This window comes from Homo sapiens, chromosome 7 (assembly GCF_000001405.40).
Source record: "Homo sapiens chromosome 7, GRCh38.p14 Primary Assembly".
Classification (NCBI taxonomy): Eukaryota; Metazoa; Chordata; class Mammalia; order Primates; family Hominidae; genus Homo; species Homo sapiens.
This window is the reverse complement of record NC_000007.14, coordinates 103,345,788-103,370,230: the sequence shown is the minus strand read 5'-3', so window position 1 is coordinate 103,370,230 and position 24,443 is coordinate 103,345,788. Positions and strand designations below refer to the sequence as shown.

The 24,443-nt window shown below is 38.5% G+C and overlaps 3 protein-coding genes and 1 pseudogene across 8 annotated transcripts in view; 1 reads left to right on the top strand and 3 right to left on the bottom strand.

The window, feature by feature from the left end:
- The window catches only part of SLC26A5 (solute carrier family 26 member 5), a 93,478-nt gene extending 75,977 nt beyond the window's left edge, over positions 1-17,501 (top strand). For all 5 annotated transcript variants that reach the window (NR_135802.2, NM_206885.3, NM_001321787.2 and 2 more), the window contains one exon: positions 17,305-17,501. Coding sequence is in view for 4 of the 5 variants with exons in the window: in NM_206885.3 (NP_996768.1) it covers positions 17,305-17,341 (37 nt within the window). In the remaining variant the exon portion in view is untranslated. The remainder of the gene's footprint in view (positions 1-17,304) is intronic.
- PSMC2 (proteasome 26S subunit, ATPase 2) lies at positions 836-22,707 on the bottom strand. Of its 2 annotated transcripts, NM_002803.4 has the most exons (12): positions 22,450-22,588; positions 16,273-16,310; positions 15,282-15,363; positions 14,438-14,537; positions 8,143-8,274; positions 7,473-7,545; positions 6,792-6,887; positions 5,924-6,088; positions 4,068-4,155; positions 2,616-2,818; positions 2,422-2,518; positions 836-2,334 (listed from the first exon to the last, which is right to left on the bottom strand). In NM_002803.4, the coding sequence occupies exons 1-12, from the start codon at positions 22,517-22,519 to the stop codon at positions 2,177-2,179; spliced, it is 1,302 nt and encodes a 433-aa protein (NP_002794.1). In that variant the 5' UTR covers positions 22,520-22,588; the 3' UTR covers positions 836-2,176. The 2 variants fall into 2 exon arrangements, with proteins under 2 accessions (NP_002794.1, NP_001191382.1); NM_001204453.1 differs by lacking the exons at positions 836-2,334; positions 2,422-2,518; positions 2,616-2,818; ... (2 more) ...; positions 6,792-6,887; positions 7,473-7,545 and having other exon boundaries at positions 7,764-8,274; positions 22,450-22,707.
- Positions 21,379-21,660, bottom strand: RPS29P16 (ribosomal protein S29 pseudogene 16; annotated as a pseudogene).
- Positions 22,689-24,443, bottom strand: part of PMPCB (peptidase, mitochondrial processing subunit beta) — a 50,108-nt gene continuing 48,353 nt past the window's right edge. The window contains exon 14 of the mRNA XM_047421050.1: positions 22,689-22,707. Within this exon, the coding sequence (XP_047277006.1) occupies positions 22,704-22,707 (4 nt within the window). The 3' untranslated portion in view covers positions 22,689-22,703. The remainder of the gene's footprint in view (positions 22,708-24,443) is intronic.

Here is a 24,443-nt window from a genome sequence, read left to right as displayed (position 1 = left end):
AATGCTATTGGTCCTTTTTAGTGCACCTTACCTTTCAGGAGTGCCTTTAGGATTCACGATGTTTAGATTCTTACTGTTTTGAATGCTCATAAAAGTTTGAGAACTATAAAAGTATTACTGAATTCTTCAAACATACAGCTAACCAAAATGCATGCAATGGTTTTGAAACCCCTCCAATCCCAGCAACACAACGGTAAAAGTTAGCACCACACCAGGTAACGTGCCTGCTTAGTGACTTAGATTTTATCAAGTTTGAGCATCTTAAAACTCCACCTGGCCTTTGAGAAAGCTGTACCAGGCTTTTCATTATACTGGTGTATTGCATTTCACTTTACGTAACAGATAAACCTCAGAAGCATCATGAAAACGGAGTTTTTTAATACACCTAATCACATTTTTAACACTAAGAAGTTTTTAAACAGGATTCTACGGTATATTTTTCTAAAGTCATAAATCCTTTGTATTCTAACTTATCAGCACCCTGACACATGTATATATATATATGTGCATCTACACACATGTATATAGACACATCTATTTTAGGTGGAGGAAGTTACTGGTAAATGTCTGTTTCATCTCTTTGAGTACAAACATGCTGACCTAGGCAATGTTGATGCTACCTGCATAAATATGCCTTGACAGAAAAACCCAAATTTTTAAAGTAGTTGATTTTACATTTGATGTGTGGCCGATTAGATTTTCCTTATGGACCTAAATTATCACGATAGTCACTCTGTATCGTTAGAACAGAGTGTGCTCAACATTATCTAATTCGAGTTGTCTTTAATTGGTATATATGAGCACGTGGCCATGACAAAGTGGAAAGACTTCAGAGTGTGTTCTAAATGTGTACATTTATTTAATCAAAACATTCAAAAACATACATCTTCAGTCATTTTCTTAAGTATATTTTATTGTAAGCATAACCTGAAAATAGTTTGCTCTATTTAATTCCTCAAGAAAAATTAGGGCAGGGTTAAAAAAGATGAATTTTTCTGATCAAGTTCATAAAAATGAAAAATCAAGAATGTTGGTTGGATTTTATAAAAGGCTTTAATTTCTTTACTTGAAAACTTTCATAATTTTAAGTATTTCAGTGCAAAGCAGCATTTTCTATGTTGTCAACTTTTTCTATTGTGAATTAAAAATATATCCAACTCTTATTTTGCAACTTATTTATGAATATCGAACTTCAATAAAAATATTCATTATTGTGCTTTGGTCTTGGCATTGGGGGAAGGGGTAATTGTGGTAGAAGATAGGATTTGGTGGTGGTTACACAGGAGGTAATTTTAAAGAGATGTTGAGGATTCTAATATAACCTTTATTTTTAAAATACCTCACTGTAGACCAGAAGCCTAACAGAAACTTTACCAAAATTTTAAAGTAATTTGTAAAATGAAAGTAATCACTTTTCTGTATGAAGCCAATTCTGGACTTTCTAAATTAGATCATATGTACAAATATTTTTTTTTCTTTTTTTACTAGTCTTTCACTTCTGGCTGAACATTTTTCTTTCTGCTTTATTGCACCACTTTACTGCTCATTAAAATCACTAATTCTTCCTGATTAATTTGAAATCAAATGGCAATGCAAAACATATACATCCAATGTTTCTCCTACTTTAAAAAAGCTTTGGCCAAAGCTTTTATTATTCAATATGGTGGTGGGAAACTATCATAATGCATGTGGTCATACGCCTAAGTGAGCTACTTTGTTGCGGGACAGAAGCGGATAATAGGAGCATAGGTAATGGAGCCAACAAACTTGTACTTGAAAGCCAGCTTTGCCACTACAAGTAAGTAGGAAAGTTTATGCATCCATTGGATGAAGATCCATTTGATAATCTTCCTCAGTGGACAGATGGGAGGATACAATGAGAATTTATATGTAGAGCACCCGGCCAGCATATGCCTAGGATAGAAGCCATCTAAGCAAGCGCTTTGTATGATGTGAAATCCTTAAACGGGTGTGGGTCAAAAAAATAGTCAAAATATATTCTAACAAGCTTTTCTGCCTAATAACATTAGAAATCACCTTTTATTATATTACAAGAAGAGATATGGAAAAAAGCATACAATTTTGAAGCCATTTATTTGTTTATGAATTGGTTATTAACAAGTCTATATAAGGTTAGGATTCCAATTTAAAGTTTTCACTTGAAAGCCTTCAGGGTTCAGTTGTATGTCATGTAACGAGGAGTAGCACTGAATTTGGCATAAGACTTAATGACCTTATTTACAGCTTCCAAGAAATCCTTCTCGGTAGCAATTTTTCGCCGTGCTCTGATGGCAAACATACCAGCCTCTGTGCAGACGCTTCTAATCTCAGCACCTTTCAAACAAAAAGAAAATAAACGGGCTTAATTAAAGCAGCCTGAGCAGACAGACCAGCAAATATAAGCAAGAACTTTCTACTTACCAGTGCTATTTGGACACAGTCGTGCTAACAGTTCAAATCTGATATCTCTTTCAACACTCATTGAACGAGCGTGAATCTTAAATATGTGGGTCCGACCCTAAAAATGAGAAAATTGACAAATATTAAAATGGAAAAAAATCACAGGAAGAAAAAACTTCAAAAATCCCTTTCCTAAAATGAAATGGTTTTCTTACCTCTAGATCGGGCAAGCTAAATTCAATTTTTCTATCCAATCTCCCTGGCCTCATCAGTGCTGGATCCAAAGTATCAGGTCTGTTAGTGGCCATCAGCACTTTAATATTGCCTCTAGGATCAAAACCATCAAGCTGATTGATCAGTTCCAACATTGTTCTCTGCACTTCATTGTCACCTCCAGCACCATCATCAAAACGAGCCCCTGAGAAGACAAAAGGAAAGATAAGCTCTTCAAGTCCACTCAAGAGTAGCACTATGCATGACCTGAAAGTACCAAAAATCTCAGCTCAAATCATGTCCTCAGGCACAAGTGACATCCCACTTTGAAGCAAATCCTGTAAGAACAGCTTGCTTTATATAAAACTAATTAGAAAGTGAATCTTTGCTTTCAAAAGTATTCATCACAGATTTACTTAACGTTTTTTAAACTGCCTATGGGGCAGTTTAGTGTTTTCAAAGTCTACCACATTTATTACTTAATTTGGACCTCTCAAAAACTCATGAAGTACACAAGACAACAATTATTCCCTTTATAAGATGAGCAAACTGAGGCTCAGAGATTAGTTAAAATAACTTGTCCTCAGGAGTTCGAGACCAGCCTGGCCAACATGGTGAAACCACGTCTCTACTAAAAATACAAAAATTAGCCAGGCATGGTGGTAGGCATCTGTAATTGCAGCTACTCAGGAGGCTGAGACATGAGAATTGCTTGAACCCAGGAGGCAGAGGTTGCAGTGAGCCAAGATCATGCCACTGAACTCCAACCTGAGCAACAGAGTGAGACTGTTTCTTAAAACAAAAAAAAAAGTCTAGATTTCATGGCTAATACTGTATTTCATCAAATCTGTGAAGCCAACAAGAACATTATTTTATGTGCACTAAGAAAAACCACCATCAATTAAATTATGCCCCAGTGCTTTCTTATGACATTAGATGATACTTCTCAATTTACGAGTTGTTTAAAGTATGGAAATAGGTGTTGTATGAATGAAATCAGATATAGACTGAGCATCCCAAATTTGCAAATGCAAAATCCAAAATGCTTCAAAATTTGAAAGTTTGAGCACCAACATGACAAAAGCAATACTCATTGGAGCACTTTAGATTTCAGGTTTTCAGATTTGGGATACTCAATCAGTATAATGCAAGTACTTCAAAAGCCAAAATCCAAAATATGTGAATTCCAAAACACTTCTCAAACATTTCGGCTAAGGGATATTCAACCCATAGCACAAAAATAAAGGCTTTGAAAAAATGACAATGGTATATAATGTGTCTTCTTGCCTTTATAGTTTAGCACTACTACTTATTAGATCTGTGGCGCCACTGTTTCAGAGCTCATAGAAGAGTTGGAGTTAAAATTCTGTACAAGATTAACATATCACGACATATCACTTTACAGCTTTCATGAAACTGAATCCTAAAGCAGTTCTCTAACGTATCATTCTCACCTCCAATAGCATCAATTTCATCAAAGAAGATAAGGCAGGCTTTTTTTGTTCTGGCCATTTCAAAGAGTTCACGAACCATTCGAGCCCCCTAATGAGAAAAATGATTTATTAATTCAAAATTGGTTTCAAAATATTTTAAAATAAGTAAAAAGTTATGCTTCAAACTTTTCAATATTTATTCCTAACAGTATTCTCACCCATTATTACCTAAACGTTTTTTATTTTTTTATTTTTTTGAGATGGAGTCTTCCTCTGTCGCCCAGGCTGGAGTGCAGTGGTGCGAGCTCGGCTCACTGCAACCTCTGCCGCCTGGGTTCAAGCGATTCCCCTACCTCAGCCTCCCGGGTAGCTGGGATTACAGGCATGTGTCACCACACCCCGCTAATTTTTGTATTTTTAGTAGAGACGGGGTTTCAGCATCTTGGCCAGGCTGGCATTGAACTCCTGACCTCATGTTCCACCCGTCTCAGCCTCCCAAAGTGCTGGGATTACAGACGTGAGCCACTGCGCGCAGCTATTTTAATTTTATTTTTTGAGACAGAGTTTCACTCTTGTTGCCCAGGCTGGTGTGCAATGGCACGATCTTGGCTCAGTGCAACCTTCGCCTTCTGGGTTCAAGCGATTCTCATGCCTCGGCCTCCCGAGGAGCTGGGATTACAGACATGCGCCACCACACCCGGCTTTTTCTATTTTCAATGGAGACGGGGTTTCTCCATGTTGGTCAGGCTGGTTTCCAACTCCTGACCTTAGGTGATCCGCCTGCCTCTGCCTCCCAAAGTGCTAGGATTACAGGCATGAGCCACCGTGCCTGGCCTATCTAAACTTTTTTTAAAAAAGACTGAAGTTTGCTCCCCAGTCCACCAAATTAATCTTGCCAGCCTTAAAATATTAAGTCATTTTCATGATTCTGTATCTATTAAATAGCAATAGGTTTCAGATCTGAAGAGGTCAAATTAATAGTTAAATAAAGGAACCATTCTAATTAGTAAAACTTGAGTAAATAAAAGCATCTGATCTATCACTTGGAATTCCTGATCATTGAATTTGACTTGCAAGTTTTAGTTAGGGAATAAAAGGATACCTCAACTCACGCAGCTCCGTAGCTAATTCTTATTGTAAATATACGAATCATCAACAGGTTTCAGATACAATACATATAGCCCTAGACTTATTCTCTAAATATATATATATATATATATATATATGTATGTCTACAAACATAAAAACAACCTATGTTCTCACTTTCTCATTAGGACTGAAAACACTGCCCCTGAAGTAAAAGTATACTTTTTAATTAATTTACCAGGCATTTCCGTAGAAAAGCCACATCTGTAGAAAATGTCACCCTTTTGAGGAGGGGGCATACTGGTTAAAATTTTAAGTGGTTGCCTATCTCCAAATGACCACAAAGGCAGCTTCTAAACTACTAATTACAATCAAGAAATTTCAGGTCTCAGGCCGGGCGTGGTGGTTCTTGCCTATACTACCAGCACTCTGGGAGGCCAAAGCAGATGGATCACTTGAGCCCAGGAGTTTGAGACCAGCTGGGCCACATGGTAAAACCCCTCTCTACAAAAAATAGAAAAATTAGCTGGGTGTGGTGGCATGTAGCCATGGTCTCAGCTACCTGAGAGGCTGAGATGGGAGGATCGCCTAAGCCCAGAGAGGTAGAGACTGCAGTGAGCTGAGATCATGTCACTGCACTCCAGCCTGGGCAACACAATGAGACTCTGTCTCAACAAAAGAAAAAAGAAATTTCAGGTCTGGATCCCTCAATGCAGAAGTGCCATTTTTAATTTCATTCATACTGTAAAATCTTTCACAAGGCTATATATTCTTTGATAAATTTACTTTACCTCACCGACGTATTTCTGTACAAGCTCAGATCCAATAACTCGAATGAAGCACGCATCAGTCCGATTAGCAACTGCCCGCGCACAGAGTGTCTTGCCTGTACCGGGTGGACCAAAGAGCAGCACGCCCTTGGGAGGCTCAATGCCAAGGTTCACAAACCTCTCTGGCTGTGATAGAGACACAATTTTCACACTTACCACTTCTGTATAACAAAAATCAGACTACTTCTAAATCAACAAAGTGCTTTTATGTTTAGTATTTTATCCTGAAAACCATACTTTAATATTTAAATCAAAATTATTAAGTCCACAATATACATACTTGAACTAAATAAGAAATTTTACTTATTCTAAGACATAAGTTCTAAACTGGACTTCTATCAATACATAAGACTAAATGGCTTTTAAAAAGCACTTCCATTATCCAGTCTTAAAATATTTTCCTAATTTAAAAAAAATTATGGTGTTTAAGGAACAAAATTATCTGGTATTCAGTATCCTAGTTTTCCATTATCCTCCCAAGTTTAACCTGCTTCAATTTAAGCCCCTTTCTTCTCGATGTCTTTTGAAGAACCAGTTTCTTCTATAATAGCCTGTAACATATTTAACATATTGCTAAAGGTTACACTGTGCCTCCTCTGTCACTGTAAACAGCAGATCTTTCTTTTTTAAATATACCTGACCACTCAATCCTTTTTGCTTGCTCTCCCCTAGAACTTACCAACTCTCCACACCTCCTCTCTCCACCCTCTCAAAAAACTCTCATTAGGGAAAATATTAAAAGCCATCTAATATACAAGCAATTTTAGTGCTCAATACACAAAAGACATCTTTATACAAAGAAATTTAAATACAACACTCAGCTACTTACATGAAGTAATGGGGTTTCAACTACTTCTCGCAGTTTCTCAATCTGTTCCTTACAGCCACCAACATCACTGTATGTGACATCAGGTTTCTCTTCCACCTAAGAGAGGGACAGAAATGTACAACATACAGTCACAGGCTTTTTGGATACTGTCCAAATTCAATAGAATAGACCTAATACCTTAAAAGAAAAACTCACAAGTGAGAATTTTAATAAAAATTGAATACATTGCCCAGTGCCCTGGAACTACTTGCTGTATTAACTTGTTATGACACTAATGAATGAAAAACAAACTAGTAAAATAAAGACAGGCTGAGACTCTGTCTCAAAAAATATATATATAAAATACTGCCGGGCTCAGTGGCTCACGCCTGGAATCCCAGCACTTTGGGAGGCTGAGGCAGGCCAAACACTTGAGGTCATGAGTTCGAAACCAGTCTGGCCAACATGGTGAAACACCGTCTCTACTAAAAATACAAAAATTAGCTGGGCGTGGTGGCGGGTGCCTGTAATCCCAGCTACTCGGGAGGCTGAGGCAGGAGAATTGCTTGAACCCGGGAGGCAGAGGTTGCAGTGAGCCAAGATCACACCATTCTACTCCAGCCTGGACAAGAGTGAAACTCCGCCTCAAAAAAAAAAAAAAAAAAAGACATAGCCTTCCTTTTCCCTCCCATAGTTTCTTACCTGCATCATGGTAACTGTTGGGTCAATCTTAGGAGGCAATGGAATGTGAATTTGATATTTATTTCTATCCACGCTAAGGAAGTAAAAAAGATAGTCATTAATACATTCTTTAAGCTTTCAAAGTGCTTTTATGTTTAGTCCTTTATCCCCAAAACCATACTTTAAGAAAACAAGAGAGAGACAGAGTCCCTAATTATATAAAGAGAAATAAAGAGAGCATGAAATCTGAGGATACTAAACTACATGTCTAATGTCGCAAACAACCTATCCAACAGCAATCAAACCTTTGAGGAGGGAGGGGAGATTTTTTTTTAATTTACTAAGTGAGTTGTTATGTATTCTATAGACATTAACACACTTAGCATCACAACTATCCTAAAGCAAGTACTCCCCCAACCTATACCATGTTACCTTAAATGGACTGGTAACCTCAACTCTGAAATTTGAAGCCATTCATAATAAACAACAGTGGGAGTAGGGGAGTCAGCGAAGCCGATGGGAAGTTAGGAAGCAGATGCAGAAGACAGAATTTTCAACTATAGTACATTACTAGATCATCCTTTGGTATTCCAAGGAACTCAGTCCATTTATTCACTACAAAGCCAAGGATATGAATGTGAGACAGTATCCTTAGTGAAAGAAAAGTATTTATTGTAAATAGAAATCTTACCCCACTCTCATCCCTTCTTCAATGTCAGTAGGTGCCACCTGATCACTAAGGTCCACCACAAACTTGGCAAACTGCTTTACGTTGATAATGTATTTTGGGTCCTCCGAATCAGCATTGATTATCTTTGTACACCTAACACAGCAAAAAGCTTGATTAGAATAAGGAACCTAAGCCACTAATAATGAATTCAACTAACTAGATTATATCCTGAGTGTGCAATATACAGGTATAAACTAGAACTACAGAAACTGGGACACTGTTAAAGATCCTTTTCTATACCCAACTCCAAAGGTCCATTCGACTTTAGCCAAGTCATAAAATTTTCAAATACATTCTCCTGGAAAATTAAACCCAAATATCTCATCATTAAGAAGTTCTCTGATTTCTTGATTTCCATAGTTTGTATTCCTTTATTATTAGTGATGCTCCTGTATATCTTAAGTTGCTCTCGTTTTTATTTTCCCTACAAAAAGATGGTCATCTTGTCTTACACCAAATTCAGTAATAAATGGGTTTTCATTCTTTTCCTGAGTTTATACTTTAAATCCGTTTTTCTTTTTTTTTTTTTTTTTTTTTTTGAGATGGAGTTTCACTCTTGTTGCCCAGGCTGAAACACAATGGTGTGATCTTGGCTCACTGCAACCTCCACCTCTTGGGTTCATGCAATTCTCCTGCCTCAGCCTCCCGAGTAGCTGGGATTACAGGCATGCACCACCATGCCTAGCTAATTTTGTATTTTTTTTTTTTTTTTTAGTAGAGAGGGGGTTTCTCTTGAACTCCCAACCTCAGGCTAGTCAGGCTGGTCTCGAAATCCCAACCTCAGGTGATCCGCCCGCCTCAGCTTCCCAAAGTGCTGGGATTACAGGCGTGAGCCACCACACCCGGACTTTAAATCCATTTTTATTGTTTTTGCTACTTTTTTCTTTTTTTAACTGAGGCAGTAGAAGCTTGTTTTTTTTTCTTTTTCTTTTTTTTGAGACAGAGTCTTGCTCTGGAGCCCAGACTGGAGTGCAGTGGTGCGATCTCGGCTCATTACAATCTCCGCCTCCTGGGTTCAAGCAGTTCTCCTGCCTCAGCCTCCCAAGTAGCTGGCATTACAGGAATGCGCCAGCACGCCCGGCTAATTGTTTTGTATTTTTAATATATACGGGGTTTCACCATGTTGGCCAGGCTGGTTTCAAACTCCCGACCTCAAGTGATCCACCTGCTTCGGCCTCCCAAAGTGCTGGGATTACAGGCGTGAGCCATTGCACCCGGCCAGTAGAAGCTATTTTTAACTTAATTATATTCATTTCCATATGGCCTGGTAAAAATGAATTTATAATGCCATGCACATCACAGTATAAAATAGTCAACCGCCTTTCCCCTTCTATAGTATCTATCTACTAAAGAAAAACAAAAACAAAAAACAGAACTCACATTAGAAAGCTGCTACATAAGCCACAGCAAGAATTACAGAGAAATACAAAAATAGCCTGTGGAGTGCGCACATAGGTAGAGCTAAAAGTAAGGTACAGAATGCTTTGGCTTAGCCAGGTGTGGTGGGATGCACCTGTAGTCCCAGCTACTGAGGAGGCTGAGGCTGGAGGATCACTTGAGCCCAGGAGGTCAAGGCTAAAAAAGAATGCTTTGTCCTGATAGCATAATTGTGTGAAGGACTCTGTTTTCTGTTACCAACCATGTTTGCTAGGGAAGAAGAATTATACCCATTCTCTACCAAAAAAAAAGAGGCTGACCAAAAAACCTGAAAGGAAAAACAAGAACAACAAACAGCAATAATACCAAACCCTGGGGAAAGGAAGAATTTGATTTCCAGAGGTGACACATTACATTATTTTAAATGTCTAGTTATCACCAAAAAGTTATGAGATGCAAAACATTATGAAATGCATTTTCCCTTATGTATGACATTATGGCTCATACATAAGGGGAAAAAAATCAGTCAATAGAAATTGTCCCTTAAGAAGCCTAGATGTTGGTGTTATTAAACAAAACTTTTTTTTTTTTTTTGAGACGGAATCTCACTGCTGCCCAGGCTGGAGTGCAGTGGCGCGATCTTGACTCACTGCAACTTCCGCCTCCCACGTTCGAGCAATTCTCCTGCGTCAGCCTCCTAAGTGTCTGGGATTACAGGCGCCTGCCACCACGCCCAGCTAATATTTTTATATTTTTAGTAGAGACAGGTTTCACCATGTTGGCCAGGCTGATCTCAAACTCCCAACCTCAAGTGATCCACCTGCCTCAGCCTCCCAAAGTGCTGGGATTACAGGCATGAGCCACTGCGCCCAGTCAAACAAAAACCTTAAATCAGTACAAGAAATATTTTCAAAAAGCTAAAGGAAACCATATCTAAAGAGTTTATAGGAATGATGAGAAGAATGTCTCACCAATAGTGAATACAGATAGAGAAATTAGACTGGAATATTATTTGGCCATAAAAAGTTCCATCTATTTTAGAATACGGATGAACCTTGAAATATGCTAAGTGAAGGAAGCCATGTACTATATGATTCCATTTAGATGATATGTCCAGGATAGACAAATTCATAGAAACAGAAAGTAGATAAATGGTTGCCAGGGGCTGGAAAGAGACGGGAATGAAGACTGCTAATGGGTATTGGGTTTGTTTTTGGGGTGACAAAAATATTCTATTCTGGAATTAGATAGTGATGATCAATGCACAATTTTCTAGATATTCTAAAAATCACTAAATTGTATACTTTAAAAGAGTGAACCTCATGATATCTGAATTTTATATCAGTAAGATTGTTATTAAAAAAATTCATAAGCTGGCTGGGCACGGTGGCTCACACCTGTAATCCCAGAACTTTGGGAGGCCAAGGTGGGCAGATGGCTTGAGCCTAGGAGTTCAAGAGCAGCCCAGGCAACATGGCAAGACCCTGTCTCTACTAAAAATTAAAAAAAAAAAAAAAAAAAAAAAAAAAAAAAAGCCAGACATGGGGTGGTATGCACCTGTGGTCCCAGCCACTTGGGAGGCTGAGGTGGGAGCCCAGGAAGCAGAGGCTGCAGCGAGCTGAGATCATGTTACTGCACTCCAGCCTTGGTAACAAAGTGAGACCTTGTCTCAAAAAAAAAAAAAAATTCACAAGCTAAAAATTACACATACACAAATTTTATCAAGAGTTTTAAGCAAAGAGTATGAGACTAAAATCAATGGAAACTTTTTCAAAATAATCTTTGCTTTCTTTAAGGCCTGGGATCTTGTAGGGGTATAGGGCTCTTTAGCTAGTCTGTCTGTTATGAAAAATCTATATGAAAAGTTTCCCTCTAACTGCTTTACAGAAAAAAGAAAATTCCCCTCATACGGCCTAGAAAAATGTACCTAGATTTTTTAATTTACCATAGAGAGATAAGAACATATTACAACCATGATATAAGAGCAGAACATTCAACACACACACAAAAATGAAAGAATAAAGATAAGAGCCTTGAAATAAAAAACCTGAGTTTTTTTACCTGAGAAATTAAAAACCTACGAGAAGAAAAATGGGAGGAAAAAAACATCAACAGAAAAATTCAAAGATAAAGAAAAGCTCATAGAAAGTAAAGTAAAAAGGCAAAAAGAAGAAAAACAGGAAGGAAAGATTAGCAAATTAGAGGAGCAATCCTGGAGGCCCCATATCCAAATAAGAGAATTCAGGAATAAGGGTCCAAGAAAACGGAAGGAAAGAAATTAACAAATAGTTTCAAGAAGATTTGCCTTACTAAAGGACAAGAGAGCCCAGGACAATGGATGAAAACAGACCAACACCAAGGCACATCACCATGAAATTTCAAAATAGAACAAGAGAAGACTCTACAATTTTCAGAGAAAAATTAGGCCACATATACAGGACTGAGGATCAGAATGGCTTCAGAGTAACACTGGGAGGCAAAGGACAACAGAACGACGCCTTCAAAATTTTGAAGGGAAAAGAACTGTATACTCAGCTAAGACACTTTCAGACATATGCAGTCTCAAAATATTACCTCCCAACTGACCCTTTTCCAAGAAGCTACCAGAGGATGTATTAGACCAAGCAACAGGAGAGAGGTAAAGGGCAATCTCCAGGGTAGAGAAGTCAGACAACAATTGTCATTAAACAGGCATAAAGGACAACTGGTCCAAACCAAAGCAGGTCAGAAGGTGCTGGGAAAAACTTAAGGAAAATGAAACCGAGAGAACACCAGATGCAACTAAGGTATAACTGAGAGAAAACGAACAGATCTAATGCATCTGAAGAGCAGTTTAGACAATCAAGAGAAAGTGGGAGGTTGAGTTCATAATATATGCACAGAAAACCAGGCAAATGAAAAAACAAGACGTTATAACAACCACCACTAAAAGAAGTGGTACAAGAAAGGAAAAGCAATCACAGCTTACCACTTGGCTCTTTGTGAATAGTGTTTACATAGCCATAATCATATAAACACTGAATACTGATCTAACCAAAATTATAACAGAATTACATAGGAAGGATGAGGGGATAGGAAAGGTGTGCCTTCAAGGTGAAGGCAGAGGAAACAAAACAAAATCCTCATCTTCCATGATGGAAAGCCAAAAGATAATACCTAAAACTAAAAAATCAAGAAGTAGGAATCTATAATACACAAGATATAGCAATATCCATTAGAACCATGAAGACGAAAACCAAAATAATCAGCTAAAAAAGGTGAAAATGAGTGTCATTAGGGAAGAGAAATTGGGAAATACAGTTGTTATTATTTAACTGTTTAACTCTTTTCTTTTTTTTTTTTTTTTGAGACAGAGTATCACTCTGTCACCCCAGGCTGAAGTGCAGTGGCACAATCTCAGCTTACTGCAACCTCTGCCTCCCAGGTTCAAGCGATTCTCCTGCCTCAGCCTCTCCAGTAGCTGGGATTACAAGCGCCCGCCACCACACCCAGTTAATTTTTGTATTTTTAGTAGAGACGGGGTTTCACTATGTTGACCAGGCTGGTCTTGAACTCCTGACCTCAAGTCATCTGCCTGCCTGGGCCTCCCAAAGTGCTGGGATTACAGGCGTGAGCTGCCGTGCCCAGCCTGAACTATTTAACCCTTCAAAAACCATGATAAAACTAAAAAGTGAGTGAATAAATAAAAGTGAGAAAAGATGGAAATTGTGAAGTAGGGAGGGTGAGTAGATGGGAAATAAAAATAATCTTTAGCTTTTAGGAACTAAAAATAAAAACAAAATTTTTAAAAGGATTATAAACAGAGGAGAATATGTTTATAGCCTTGAATTGGGCTAGGTTTTTCTAAGCAACATTAACACCCAAAAGGTATAATGGAAATATTGGTATATTTTATCTCCTAAAAATGTAAAACATTAGTACAACAAAAGGTACCAAGAAGTTAAAAGTGACTAGGGAAAAATACTTGTAGCATACTTAAGAAAAGACAATATGTACAATATATGAACTGTTTCTAAAATTAACAAGAAACAACCCAAGAACAAAACATGAGTAGTCAAAGAAATACAGATGTTTAGTAAACAAAAGAAGTAGCTATCATACTAGTAATCAACACAGTACAAATTAAAATTATTTTCCCTCAAATGGCAAAAGTGTAAAAATTGAAAACTGCGTATCTTACATTGATCAGACAAATGGACATTTGCCTCAAAGCCTCTTGGTAAAAGTATAAACTGGCCAAAGTAATTTTCACAGGATTTTAAAACTATAATATCTTTGACCCCTAGAATTCCACTTGTAGTAAGCTAGCCTACAGAAATGTATGCACATACACTGAGAAACATTTAACACGAATATTCACTACAGCACTGTGTATAGTAACAGAAATTGTTACAGCCTAACATCTACACATTATGCAATTTTTGCAATTTTTTAAAAACACAAGAAAAAAGAAATAAGTATACCTATATTAAAGACAAAGATTCCCAAAACATGTAGTTATATCTAAAAAAAAAAAAATCAGGATATGTTTCTTTGCATGCAAATACAGGAAGATACACAGAGGATTACGAGGGCCAAACTATTTCAGTAGTTACGTTTGAGGAAAGGGCAACGGGAAAGCAAGTATGAGAAGGGAGTTTTTCATTTCTTGCTCTACATCTTTTTATATCATTTAAATCTTTTAAATGATTATGCCTTCATATATTTTTGAAGAATTGTTTAAGGCATAAAATTTTAACCCCAGTTTTGTAGAAAGCTTTATTTACTTGGAATTTGGAATCAAAATTATTTATGAACTATTGCATTATCCCTGAGACTCTAACATTAAGTGCTTGAAAATACAGACAAAGGTAAGTTGCCACAGAGCACCCGTGCATACCTGGCAACCTGTAAAGGCTGTTCACTCTGGAGTGTCTGCTTATCTGCAGCCAAATCCCAGAGTGCTGGTGGGGCCAGGCCAGTGTCAGATTCTTTAATACCTACATAGAGAAAGATGACAAAATTTACTAAAATGTAATGCATCACCCTATAATAAGCTTTCTAAACCTCAGCACTACTGATATTTTGCACTGAATCATTCATTGTGAGGACTATCATGTGCATTATAGACTGTTTAGTAGCATCCCTGGCCTCTCACCACTAGACGCCAGCAGCACCACCCTCTCTCAAAGTCATGACAATCAAGGATGTCTCCAGACATTGCCCAGTGTCCTCTGGGAGGGGTTGGGAGGGTGGGGCAAAATCACCCCAGCTGAAAACTACACCCTGCCCTAAAGTAATTGTCAAGCCAAAAATATAATGCCACATTTGACATTTTTGTGTAGGTCAAATATTATAAAACTTCATCATTCAAGTTCCCCCCAAAAAGTTCCAGGAAAGAGCCCAATTACTTGAAGCAAAACTATGTTGTGAGATCTTATTTTTATCCAAAAAAGTTTTTTGACTTGTTAACTGAAGTTTACTGAACTGGGTTTTGACCAACAGAAATATTACTGGCTTAGAAGATGGTACTATTTCTTATTTCTTAACTGCATAAGCATTAAACCTGGTTGTAAAAAGCAGTGAAAGATATGGTTAAATGAGATCTAATTTCTTAACAGAAAGGAAGAATAATGATTTTTTTTAAATCTGTAATCATGAAGGAGTAAAATCTGTATTTAAACTCTTGATATTATTCACACATTACATTTAAAGGAAGGAAATGGGAATTTAAAAATACATACCAGTGAGCTCATTAATTTTCTTGAGAAGTTGCTGAATGTCATCTTCAACTTGCTTGATCTGCCTAGAGTAAGTGCTCTGACCCTAGGTGATGAAGGTCAGTTTAGTTAGAATATCAGGATATCAACCATTTATTAAAACTACAGGTAAAAATTATTTTTAAGTTACAATTTCAATAGCTATCATTATCCCAAAGCTTGTGAAGTAGAGAGGTATTCCTGACCCAATATTTCCCCCTAAATACACAATCCACTATTATGCAAGATAACAAATGAAAATCATGGCCAGGCATGGTGGCTCATGCCTATAATCCCTGCACTTTAGGGGGCGGAGGCGGGTGGATCACCTGAGGTCAATAATTCAAGACCAGCCTGGCCAACATGATGAAACCCTGTCTCTACCAAAAATACAAAAAATTAGCCAGACGTGGTGGTGGGCGCTCATAATCCCAGCTACTCAGGAGGCTGAGGCAGGAGAATCGCTTGAACCCAGGAGGCGGAGGTTGCAGTGAACCAAGATCGCGCCATTGCACTCCAGCCTGGGTGACAAGAGCAACACTCCGTTTCAAAAAAAAAAAAAAAAAAAATCGTGTGTGAAATTATGCAAAACTATCGATTTCTATGCATTAAAACTTCATTTCAGAACTAATTCAGTAATACTTGTTAAATATAGTAAACTTGTGTAAATGATTTCAAATATCTTTCAATATAGCATCACATTTTAATCACGAATAGTATTAAAATAATACATAAACTGAGACATGCCAAATACTTTGATCTATTCTATAAACTTTAGGTAGGTAACTTCATTTAGTGAAGATTACTAGAAGCTGCCAGACATTCTTTTCTAATTGTTTCTTTTTATTTTATTTTTTGTTTGGTTTTTTAATTTTTGGTTTCTTAACTTCTTCTAATTATTTTGGAAGGACAATACCAAAACAGTTTTTATTTCAACATAAAACATCTATAGTTTGTAGACACTGAAAGGACTTACATAAGTTTTCAACAAGGCAATATCCCCCTCATCCAGAGCTGAAAGAAGAGAGACAATACGTGAGATTCAAAAAGAAACTAGAATTAAAATTTTTAAAAAAGAAACTAGAGCTTTTTTTCTGTTCGATTCAAATTGTTTTAAGTGAGTGTCAAAAATCAAGCAAGATTATGATGATACATATTCAATCAAATAGTTCCTGGACTCAAGGAATTTTTATCTAACTGGGAGGAAAATAGGTTTTTAAAAGTACATAATATACGTGATGACCTATTTTATATAGTACATACATAAAACACATCCATTAAGGATCTTGGTTAAATTATACCATAGTCATACAATGAAATACAATGCAGGCCCCGTGCGGTGGCTCCTGCCTATAATCCCAGTACTTTGGGAGGCCCAGGCAGGCAGATCACCTGAGGTCAGGAGTTTGAGACCAGCCTAGCCAACCTGGCGAAACCCCGTCTCTACCAAAAATACAAAAATTGGCCTGGCATGGTGGCGCATGTCTGTAGTCCCAGCTACTCAGGAGGCTGAAGCTGGAGAATTGCTTGAACCCAGGAGGCGGAGGTTGCAGTGAGCCCAAATCACATCACCGCACTCCAGCCTGGGTGACCGAGAGAGACTCCATCTCAAAAAGAAAAAGAAAAGGAAATACAATGCAGCAATTTAAAATGATAACAGAACATAGACATAGAAAGCAATCCAACAAATGCTATTCAGTGAATCAGGTAGGTTTAAAAAAAAGGATATAATGTGCATATATTTTGTTTTTATATAAAAATCACTTAAAACACATGTGGAGAGTAACCTGAAATGGTGTTCTACGGTGGTTATCTGGGATTTCAAGTGATTTACAGTTAATCTTTTCTATTCACAAATTCTGCATTTCTGAATTTGCTTAGCTGCTCAAATTTATTTGTAATCCCCAAATCAATACTCATGTGCTTTCATGGTCATTTGCAAATAGACAGAGTGGTAAAAAATTTAAGTTCACAACTAAGAACAAGTCACTCTACCCTCTTGTTTCAGCTTTCATACAGAGATGACCAGAAGATGGAGACCGTAGGGGAAATGCCGTGTAATCCAAGCAGTTCAGGCTTTGGGGCCAGGTGGACAGGGTTTGAATGCCAGCTCTGGAATCTGTTAGTGGGGTGACCTCAGCCAAGTCACTTAACACTTCTGAACTTTGTTTTCTCTTTTGTGAAATAAAGAAAAAATGAATCTACCAGGATGAGTTGTTTTTAGGATTTAAGATTATAATCAGCCGGATGCTGTGGCTCACACTTGTAATCCCAGGCCGAGACAGGCGGATTGCTTGAGTCCAGGCGTTCAAGAGCAGCCTGGACCACATGGCGAAACCATGTCTCTACAAAAAATGCAAAAATTAGCATGGTGGTATGCACTTGTAGTCCCAGCTACTTGGGGGGCTGAGGCAGGAGGATCGCTTGAGCCCAGGAAGTGACAGCCACAGCAAGCTGAGATTGTGCCACTGCACTTCCACCTAGGTAACAAAGTGAGACCCTGTCTCAAAAAAAAAAAAAAAAAAAAGATTATAATCTATGTGAGATGTATATATATATTTCTCCTAGGATCAAATGTTCAGTACTTCCCAACTGACCATTCACAGCAACTTTATAGAATATATCTATCATGAAAAACAAGAACCAATCATACAATCGTACATATTTTAAGGAAAAAAACGGCAGGTCTTTTTTTTTTTTTTTTTTTTTTTTTTTTTTTAACTAAGTATGAGTAGAGGTAGGAAAAAGCATGCTTAGGTAACAGCAGCTAGACCAGGTAAGCTGAAACATAGTATACACATTAGGCGGTAATAGGAAATTAAGTAGATGGAGGTTTGGGGCTCTAGTGAAGTAGACCATAAATTCTAGAATGAGGTAATCAGGGCCACTACAGTTGACATTATAGGAACTGTGCCTTAGGAAGAATTAGCTCGCTGAGATATGAAGAACAAATTGGAGTGAGGCCACTCGGAAGTCATAAGAACCTAAATAAAAATGGTAGCAATGAAAAGAGAAAGGAAGAGTTGGATTAAAAAAAAACCCTCAGAGGAAGAATCTACAGCACATGGCAAATGACTAAATGTGAGAAGCTGACGGGAGAGGATCAAACATGATGCCCAGGCTTTGGACCTAGGTACCACACAACAGAAGTCACAATAGAAAGTGGTTAGCAGAGGGAGATACGAAGTTCAGTTTAAATTTTATTAAGTTTGTGGTACTGTTATCTGCACAGAAGAGTTAACTGCTATCCTTTGAAAGGCCTGCTTATAAGGTTGGTTCTTGGCTCTTGTCTGAGAACAATTTCAGAGGGTTCCTACCATTCCCAGAACTGAAAAAGGTGGTTCACTGTGCTTAAAATGTTTATACAAACTACAGGGTTTATGCAGAACACTTATCTTCCTTCAGGGAGTCTAGAATTTTGGTATGTTCTAGGCAGAGATGCCTACATTACCAACCCATAATAAAAACCCTGGGTGCCAAATCTCTAACGAGCTACTCTGGTTAGCAACATTTTACACATATTGTCACTACCTGTTGCTGGGGGAATTAAGTACATCCTGTGTGACTCCACTGGAAGAGGACCCTTGGAAGCTTGTGCCTGGTTTCTCCTGGACTTGGCCCCATGTGTCTTTTCTCTTTGCTGATTTTGCTTTGTATCCTTTCACTAAAATACATCATAGCCATGAGTATGACTACATGCTGAGTCTTATGAATGCTCTTAGCAAATTACTGAGCCTGAGGGTAGGCATGAAGACTATCCAACACACCGGCATATCCTGATGCAGCATTCTAAAAGGCGGAGATAAATCTGGCTCTAGAGGTCAGATGCTAGCTTGAGGTTAAAAAGGTTGACTAGGGAAGCACATACAGTCCAAGACCAGAATGGATGAAATTAATAGAAACAAAACTTTAGAGAAGCCATGTGAGGACACAATGAAGGAAAGAAAAGAAGCAGGCGGATAAACGGGAAGGTTCAGCAAGAGAAACCAAGGGAAGCTCAAAGGCTCAACAATGTCAAAAACACAAGGATTAGGATTGAGAAATACTAAAGATCTGGGAATTAAGAAACTACTGCTCAGTTTCAACTGATTTATATAGATAGAAACTAAAGTGCAAGAAGTTTAAAAATAAAATAAGAGCCTGGCATGGTAGCTCACCCCTGAAATGCCAGTACTTTGGGTGGCCAAGGTGGGAGGATCACTTGAGCCCAGGAATTTGAAACCAGTCTAGGCAACATAACAAGACCCTGTCTCTACAAAAAAAAAAAATAAGTTTTAAATGAGCATGGCATGGTGGTGCACGCCTGTTGTCCTAACTACTAGGGAGGCTGAGGCAGGAGAATGGTTTTAGCCCAGGAGTTCCCAGCCTGCAGTGACTATGATCATGCCACTGCACTCCAGCTTGAGCGACAGTGCAAGACTGTCTCTAAAAATAAATATATAAATAGTAAAGAAATGTACTGTGGGAGAATAGTAATAGCTGCTATAAATTGAGATGATCACTGTATGAGACACCGTGATTAGAGATACATATTGATATTATCTAATTCTATATAAACCTGTGAAGTAAATACAATTATTTCTACATTACAGATAGGAAAAACAGTTTCACAGAATTTATTAGACAAAACTCAAAGCCAAGATTCAAACCTAGGTCTTCCTAACTCCTAAGCCTGTCCTTTCTGCCACTTTCAGGCCGTGAAAGAAAAAAAAGAAAATGACTTGTAACTTAGGAGAGCAGGAAGATTTTCTCAACTATGTTTTTAAGATAAAATGGATATTAGCATGCTTATAAGAACAAAAGGGAAAAATTCCATAGGACAACAAATAGAAGAGGTAGTGACTGAAGAAACAAAGTCCAGAGGAGGAAGGCATAAGGTCAAAAACAGAAATGGGGAAGGTTGCACATAACAAAAATTGATACCACTTCCTCTAAGGCAGGATTAAAACAGAAAATGGAAAATGTCAGAGAAGTTAAGAGAACTCTTAAGTGGATTCTCAATCGTCTCAGGAGAGAAAAAAGTCATCAGTCATGAAGAAAGAGACTGAACTGAGGACCTGAAAAACATGTAAAAGGCTTGAAATAACCACTCAAACAAAGTGAGTCAATAGGAGATTCACAAAAAGTTAACTGCAATTAGGACCAAGTTGAGATCGGAAAGCTTAAATTGAAAGTAACTTAATCAGGCTAGACGCGGTGGCTCACGCCTGTAATCCCAGCATTTTGGGAGGCCAAGGTGGGCGGATCACCTGAGGTCAGGAGTTCAAGACCAGCCTGGCCAACATTGTGAAACCCGGTCTCTGCTAAAAATGCAAAAATTAGTTGGGTGTGGTGGGGGGGTGCCTGTAATCCCAGCTACTTGGGAGGTTGAGGCAGGAGAATCCCTTGAACCCAGGAGGCAGCGATTGCAGTGAGCTGAGATCACATCTCTGCACTCCAGCCTGGGTGACAAGAGCAAGACTCCATCTCAAAAAAAAAAAGGGTATGTATGAATAAACGCATAAGATCCTATATACATGTTAGTCATAACTGTATCCAAGGAATAAATGTATTAATATTTTTACAGAAGAACAAACCCAGAGAAACACACAGATCACTGTGCACAGATCAAATGATAAATCTCTGTGTCTAAGTTTTCCAATAAATACTGAGTATATCTGACATTTTCAGTGTCCTAAAATATTTTTAAAAGAAACAGCAGAATGAGATGAAGGTAGAAAGGAAATGCTTTCTTTTGGGGGACAGTGTAAATGGAGAAGGGTGCTAGGAAAAGTTGAAGTTGTTAAGAAAGGGAAAAGTAAGAAGAAACATAAGAAATACCAAAAGAACATTTAAAAATAGCTTAAGGAACAAAAGGAGAAACGGCATAAAGATGAGACTACAAACGGGACTACTGGGAAGAAGTTATATCCAAAACTGGTGTGCATATCTCATGCACTGTAAGTTAAAGTGTCAACTGGTACAATCTCCATGGAGTGTAGTTTGGCACTTACAAAATCAGAACTCCACTTCTAGAATTTATCCTACAATTTGTACTTGTGCACTTGGTAAAAGTTACATAAACAAGATTATTCATTTTTTTAAATGTTTATTTTATGTACAAAGAACTATCATGGTTTTCCATTGGGTAGATGCCTTGGATAATCCTTTGAAGGAAGATCACTTAGTCCAACTTAATGAAACCAATATCCTTCCCATACTGACAAAAACACTGGCGGCACATATTGAGGCCATATTTCCGGATCAGACCGTGCCGGTTTGAACAGACGCGACAAGAGCGAGAACCCTGGCCGAATTTTCGCGGGTGGCTCCAGCATAGCTTCTGGTGACCCATCTTGGTCTCAGAGTGCAACGAGGTAAAAGGTACTCATTGTTTTATAACAGCAACAAATTGGAAAAATCTACACGTCCATCAATAATAAATACATTACTGTATACGCATAATACAGGATACTATGCAGATGCAGAGGAAGTGACTACATGATAGGAAAGTATCTCTAATATATATTAATTTTTTAAAAATCAAGATGTTGAAGTATGTACAGCATGCTACATTTGTGTTAAAAAAAAGGAATAGATAAGCACACTTGCTTGTATATGTATAGAATATGTCTAAAAAGATATGCAAAATAGCAACATTAGTTGCCTCTGTGGAGAAGTTGGTGGCTGGGGCCAAGGATGCGAGGCTTTTCAAAGATATCTTTTCTGCCTCTTGAATTGTGAACCCTGTGAATGTATTATCTGGTCAAATAATTTTTTTAAGAAAATTATGTCTCAGAATTGTGGCTACACAGTGACAGCTCCCGGCTGTCACAGGGGGAAGGAGGAGGAGAGGAAAGAGGATCAGGTGACCGAGCACCGCCAGGCAGAACTTTTCAAGGCCTATTAGGCCAAGCAGGGTGCGTGACTTCTTCAAGACCCGAGAGCTGAGAATGAATAAAAATTTCCATCAGCAGATAATACAGAACTTGTAGTGGATGAGGGAGACTGAGAAGGCAGGCAAGTTAATCCGGCCGGTGTCCAGACTAAATTACTAGGGGCACAAAAGGGCCAGAGCACAGAGCCAGGAGCGGGAATCCAGCTCCTCTCCAGTGCCAAGGCAGCTCCGCTCCAGTCCCGCCCCAGCTCCGAGCTCCGGCCCATGTCAACTGACCTCGGATGGGCTTGTCGTCCTTCTCATCCTCTTTGGTCTTCCGCTGATCGGCACCGAGGTAATCCGGCATTTTAGCAGCTCCAAAAGCCTCCGCTCCTTAATGATTACACAGCACCTTCCTTGCTTCCGGTGGTGTCTTCCCTTTCCCTTCCCCACCGGAAGTAAATTGGGCTCAGACAGACCCCTTTATGCAGTGCTTCAGAGTCCGGACAGAGCCCTGGGGAAACGCTTTGGCACGCTGGTTTTTGGACTGATTACCTGTGAGAAGGAAACTTTACAGTGTTTGTAAAACGCCTGGCATATTAGACACAATAAGTAGTGGCCACATCTACAAATATAGTGAAGGTAATCTATTTCTGGTAAAGAGTTAATATCCAGAATATATAAAGAACTCCTACCACACAAGAAAACAACCTGATTTTTTAAGTGGGCAAATAACCTGAATAAACATTGCTCCAAAGAAGATATACAAATGGACAACATCACTGTTAGGAAATGCAAATCAAAACCACAGTTGGATGCCACCACATACCTATTAAGATAGCTATTATTAAAAAACAAGCAAAAACAAAACAGAAAATAAGTGTTGGAAAGGATGACCCTTGGGTCCAGCCAACCCTTGCATGTGCTGCTGGATAAAATGGAATCCTGGTGCACTGTTGATGTAAATGTAAAATGATAAAATGGTGCAACTGCTGTGGGAAACAGTATGATTGATTCCTCAGGAAATTAAAAATAATTACCATGCCACCTAGCAATTCGATTTCTGGATGTGTATCCAAAAGAACTGAAAACAGGATCTCAAAGAGATATTTGTACATCCATGTCCATAAGCAGCATTAGTCATGATACCCATAAGGTGGAAGCAACCCAAGTGTCCATCTACATATGAATGGATAAACAAAATGTGATACACGCATGCGCGCTCACACACACACACACACACACACACACACACACACATTATTCAGCCTTAAAAAGGAATGAAATTCTAGTATAAGCTACAACACAGATGAACCTTGAAGACATTATGCTAAGTGAATAAGTCAGTCACAAAAAAGACAAATACTATATGATTCCACAAATATGAAGTACCTAGAGGTGTCAAATTCCTAAAGACAAAGTAGAAGGATGGTTTCCAGTGGACAGTTTTTTCCACTGGCATAGTTTCAGTTTTGTAAGAGATTAAATGGGTATAGAGTTTCAGTTTTGTAAGATAAAAATAGTTTTGTAGGGTGGTTACACAATAATGTGAATGTACTTAACATTACTGTAAACTTAAAAACGGTGAAGATCGTAAATTTCATGTTATGTGTGTTTTAGCACAATTTTTTTAAAAAACAAAACCCCCGACCGGGCACCGTGGCTCACCCCTGTAATTCCAGCACTTTGGGAGGCTGAAGCAGGCAGATCATGAGGTCAGGAGTTGGAGACCAGCCTGGCCAACATGGCTAAACCCCGTCTCTACTACAAATACAGAAATTAGCTGGGCGTGGTGGCACGCACCTGTAATCCCAGCTACTCGGGAGGCTGAGGCAGGAGAATCGCTTGAACCTGGGAGGCAGAGATTGCAGTGAGCCGAAATCAGGCCACTGCACTCCAGCCTGGGCGACAGAGCAAGCCTCTGTCTCAGAAAAGAAAACAACAAAAAAACAAAAACCCATGTTAGAGTTAATGGTAAAATTGAATGGGAGGAGGTGTGAGGAAAAAAATATATTAATATGAAGAAAGTGGAGTCAGGTTACTTTGCACCTTGGAGCATGTTTTAACAGTGGTTGCATTAGTAGGGATCAGGAAGAGGTTTTGGGGCAGAAGATTAGTTCAATTTTTTTTTTTTTAAAGACGGGGTCTCACTGTTACCCAGGCTGGAGCGCAATGGTGTGATCTCAGCTCACTGCAACCTCCACCTCCCGGCCTCAACGATCTTCCCACCTCAGCCTCCCTTAGTTCAATTTTTGAAAAGTCAGTTTTGAAGTGACAATTTTATCATGCAG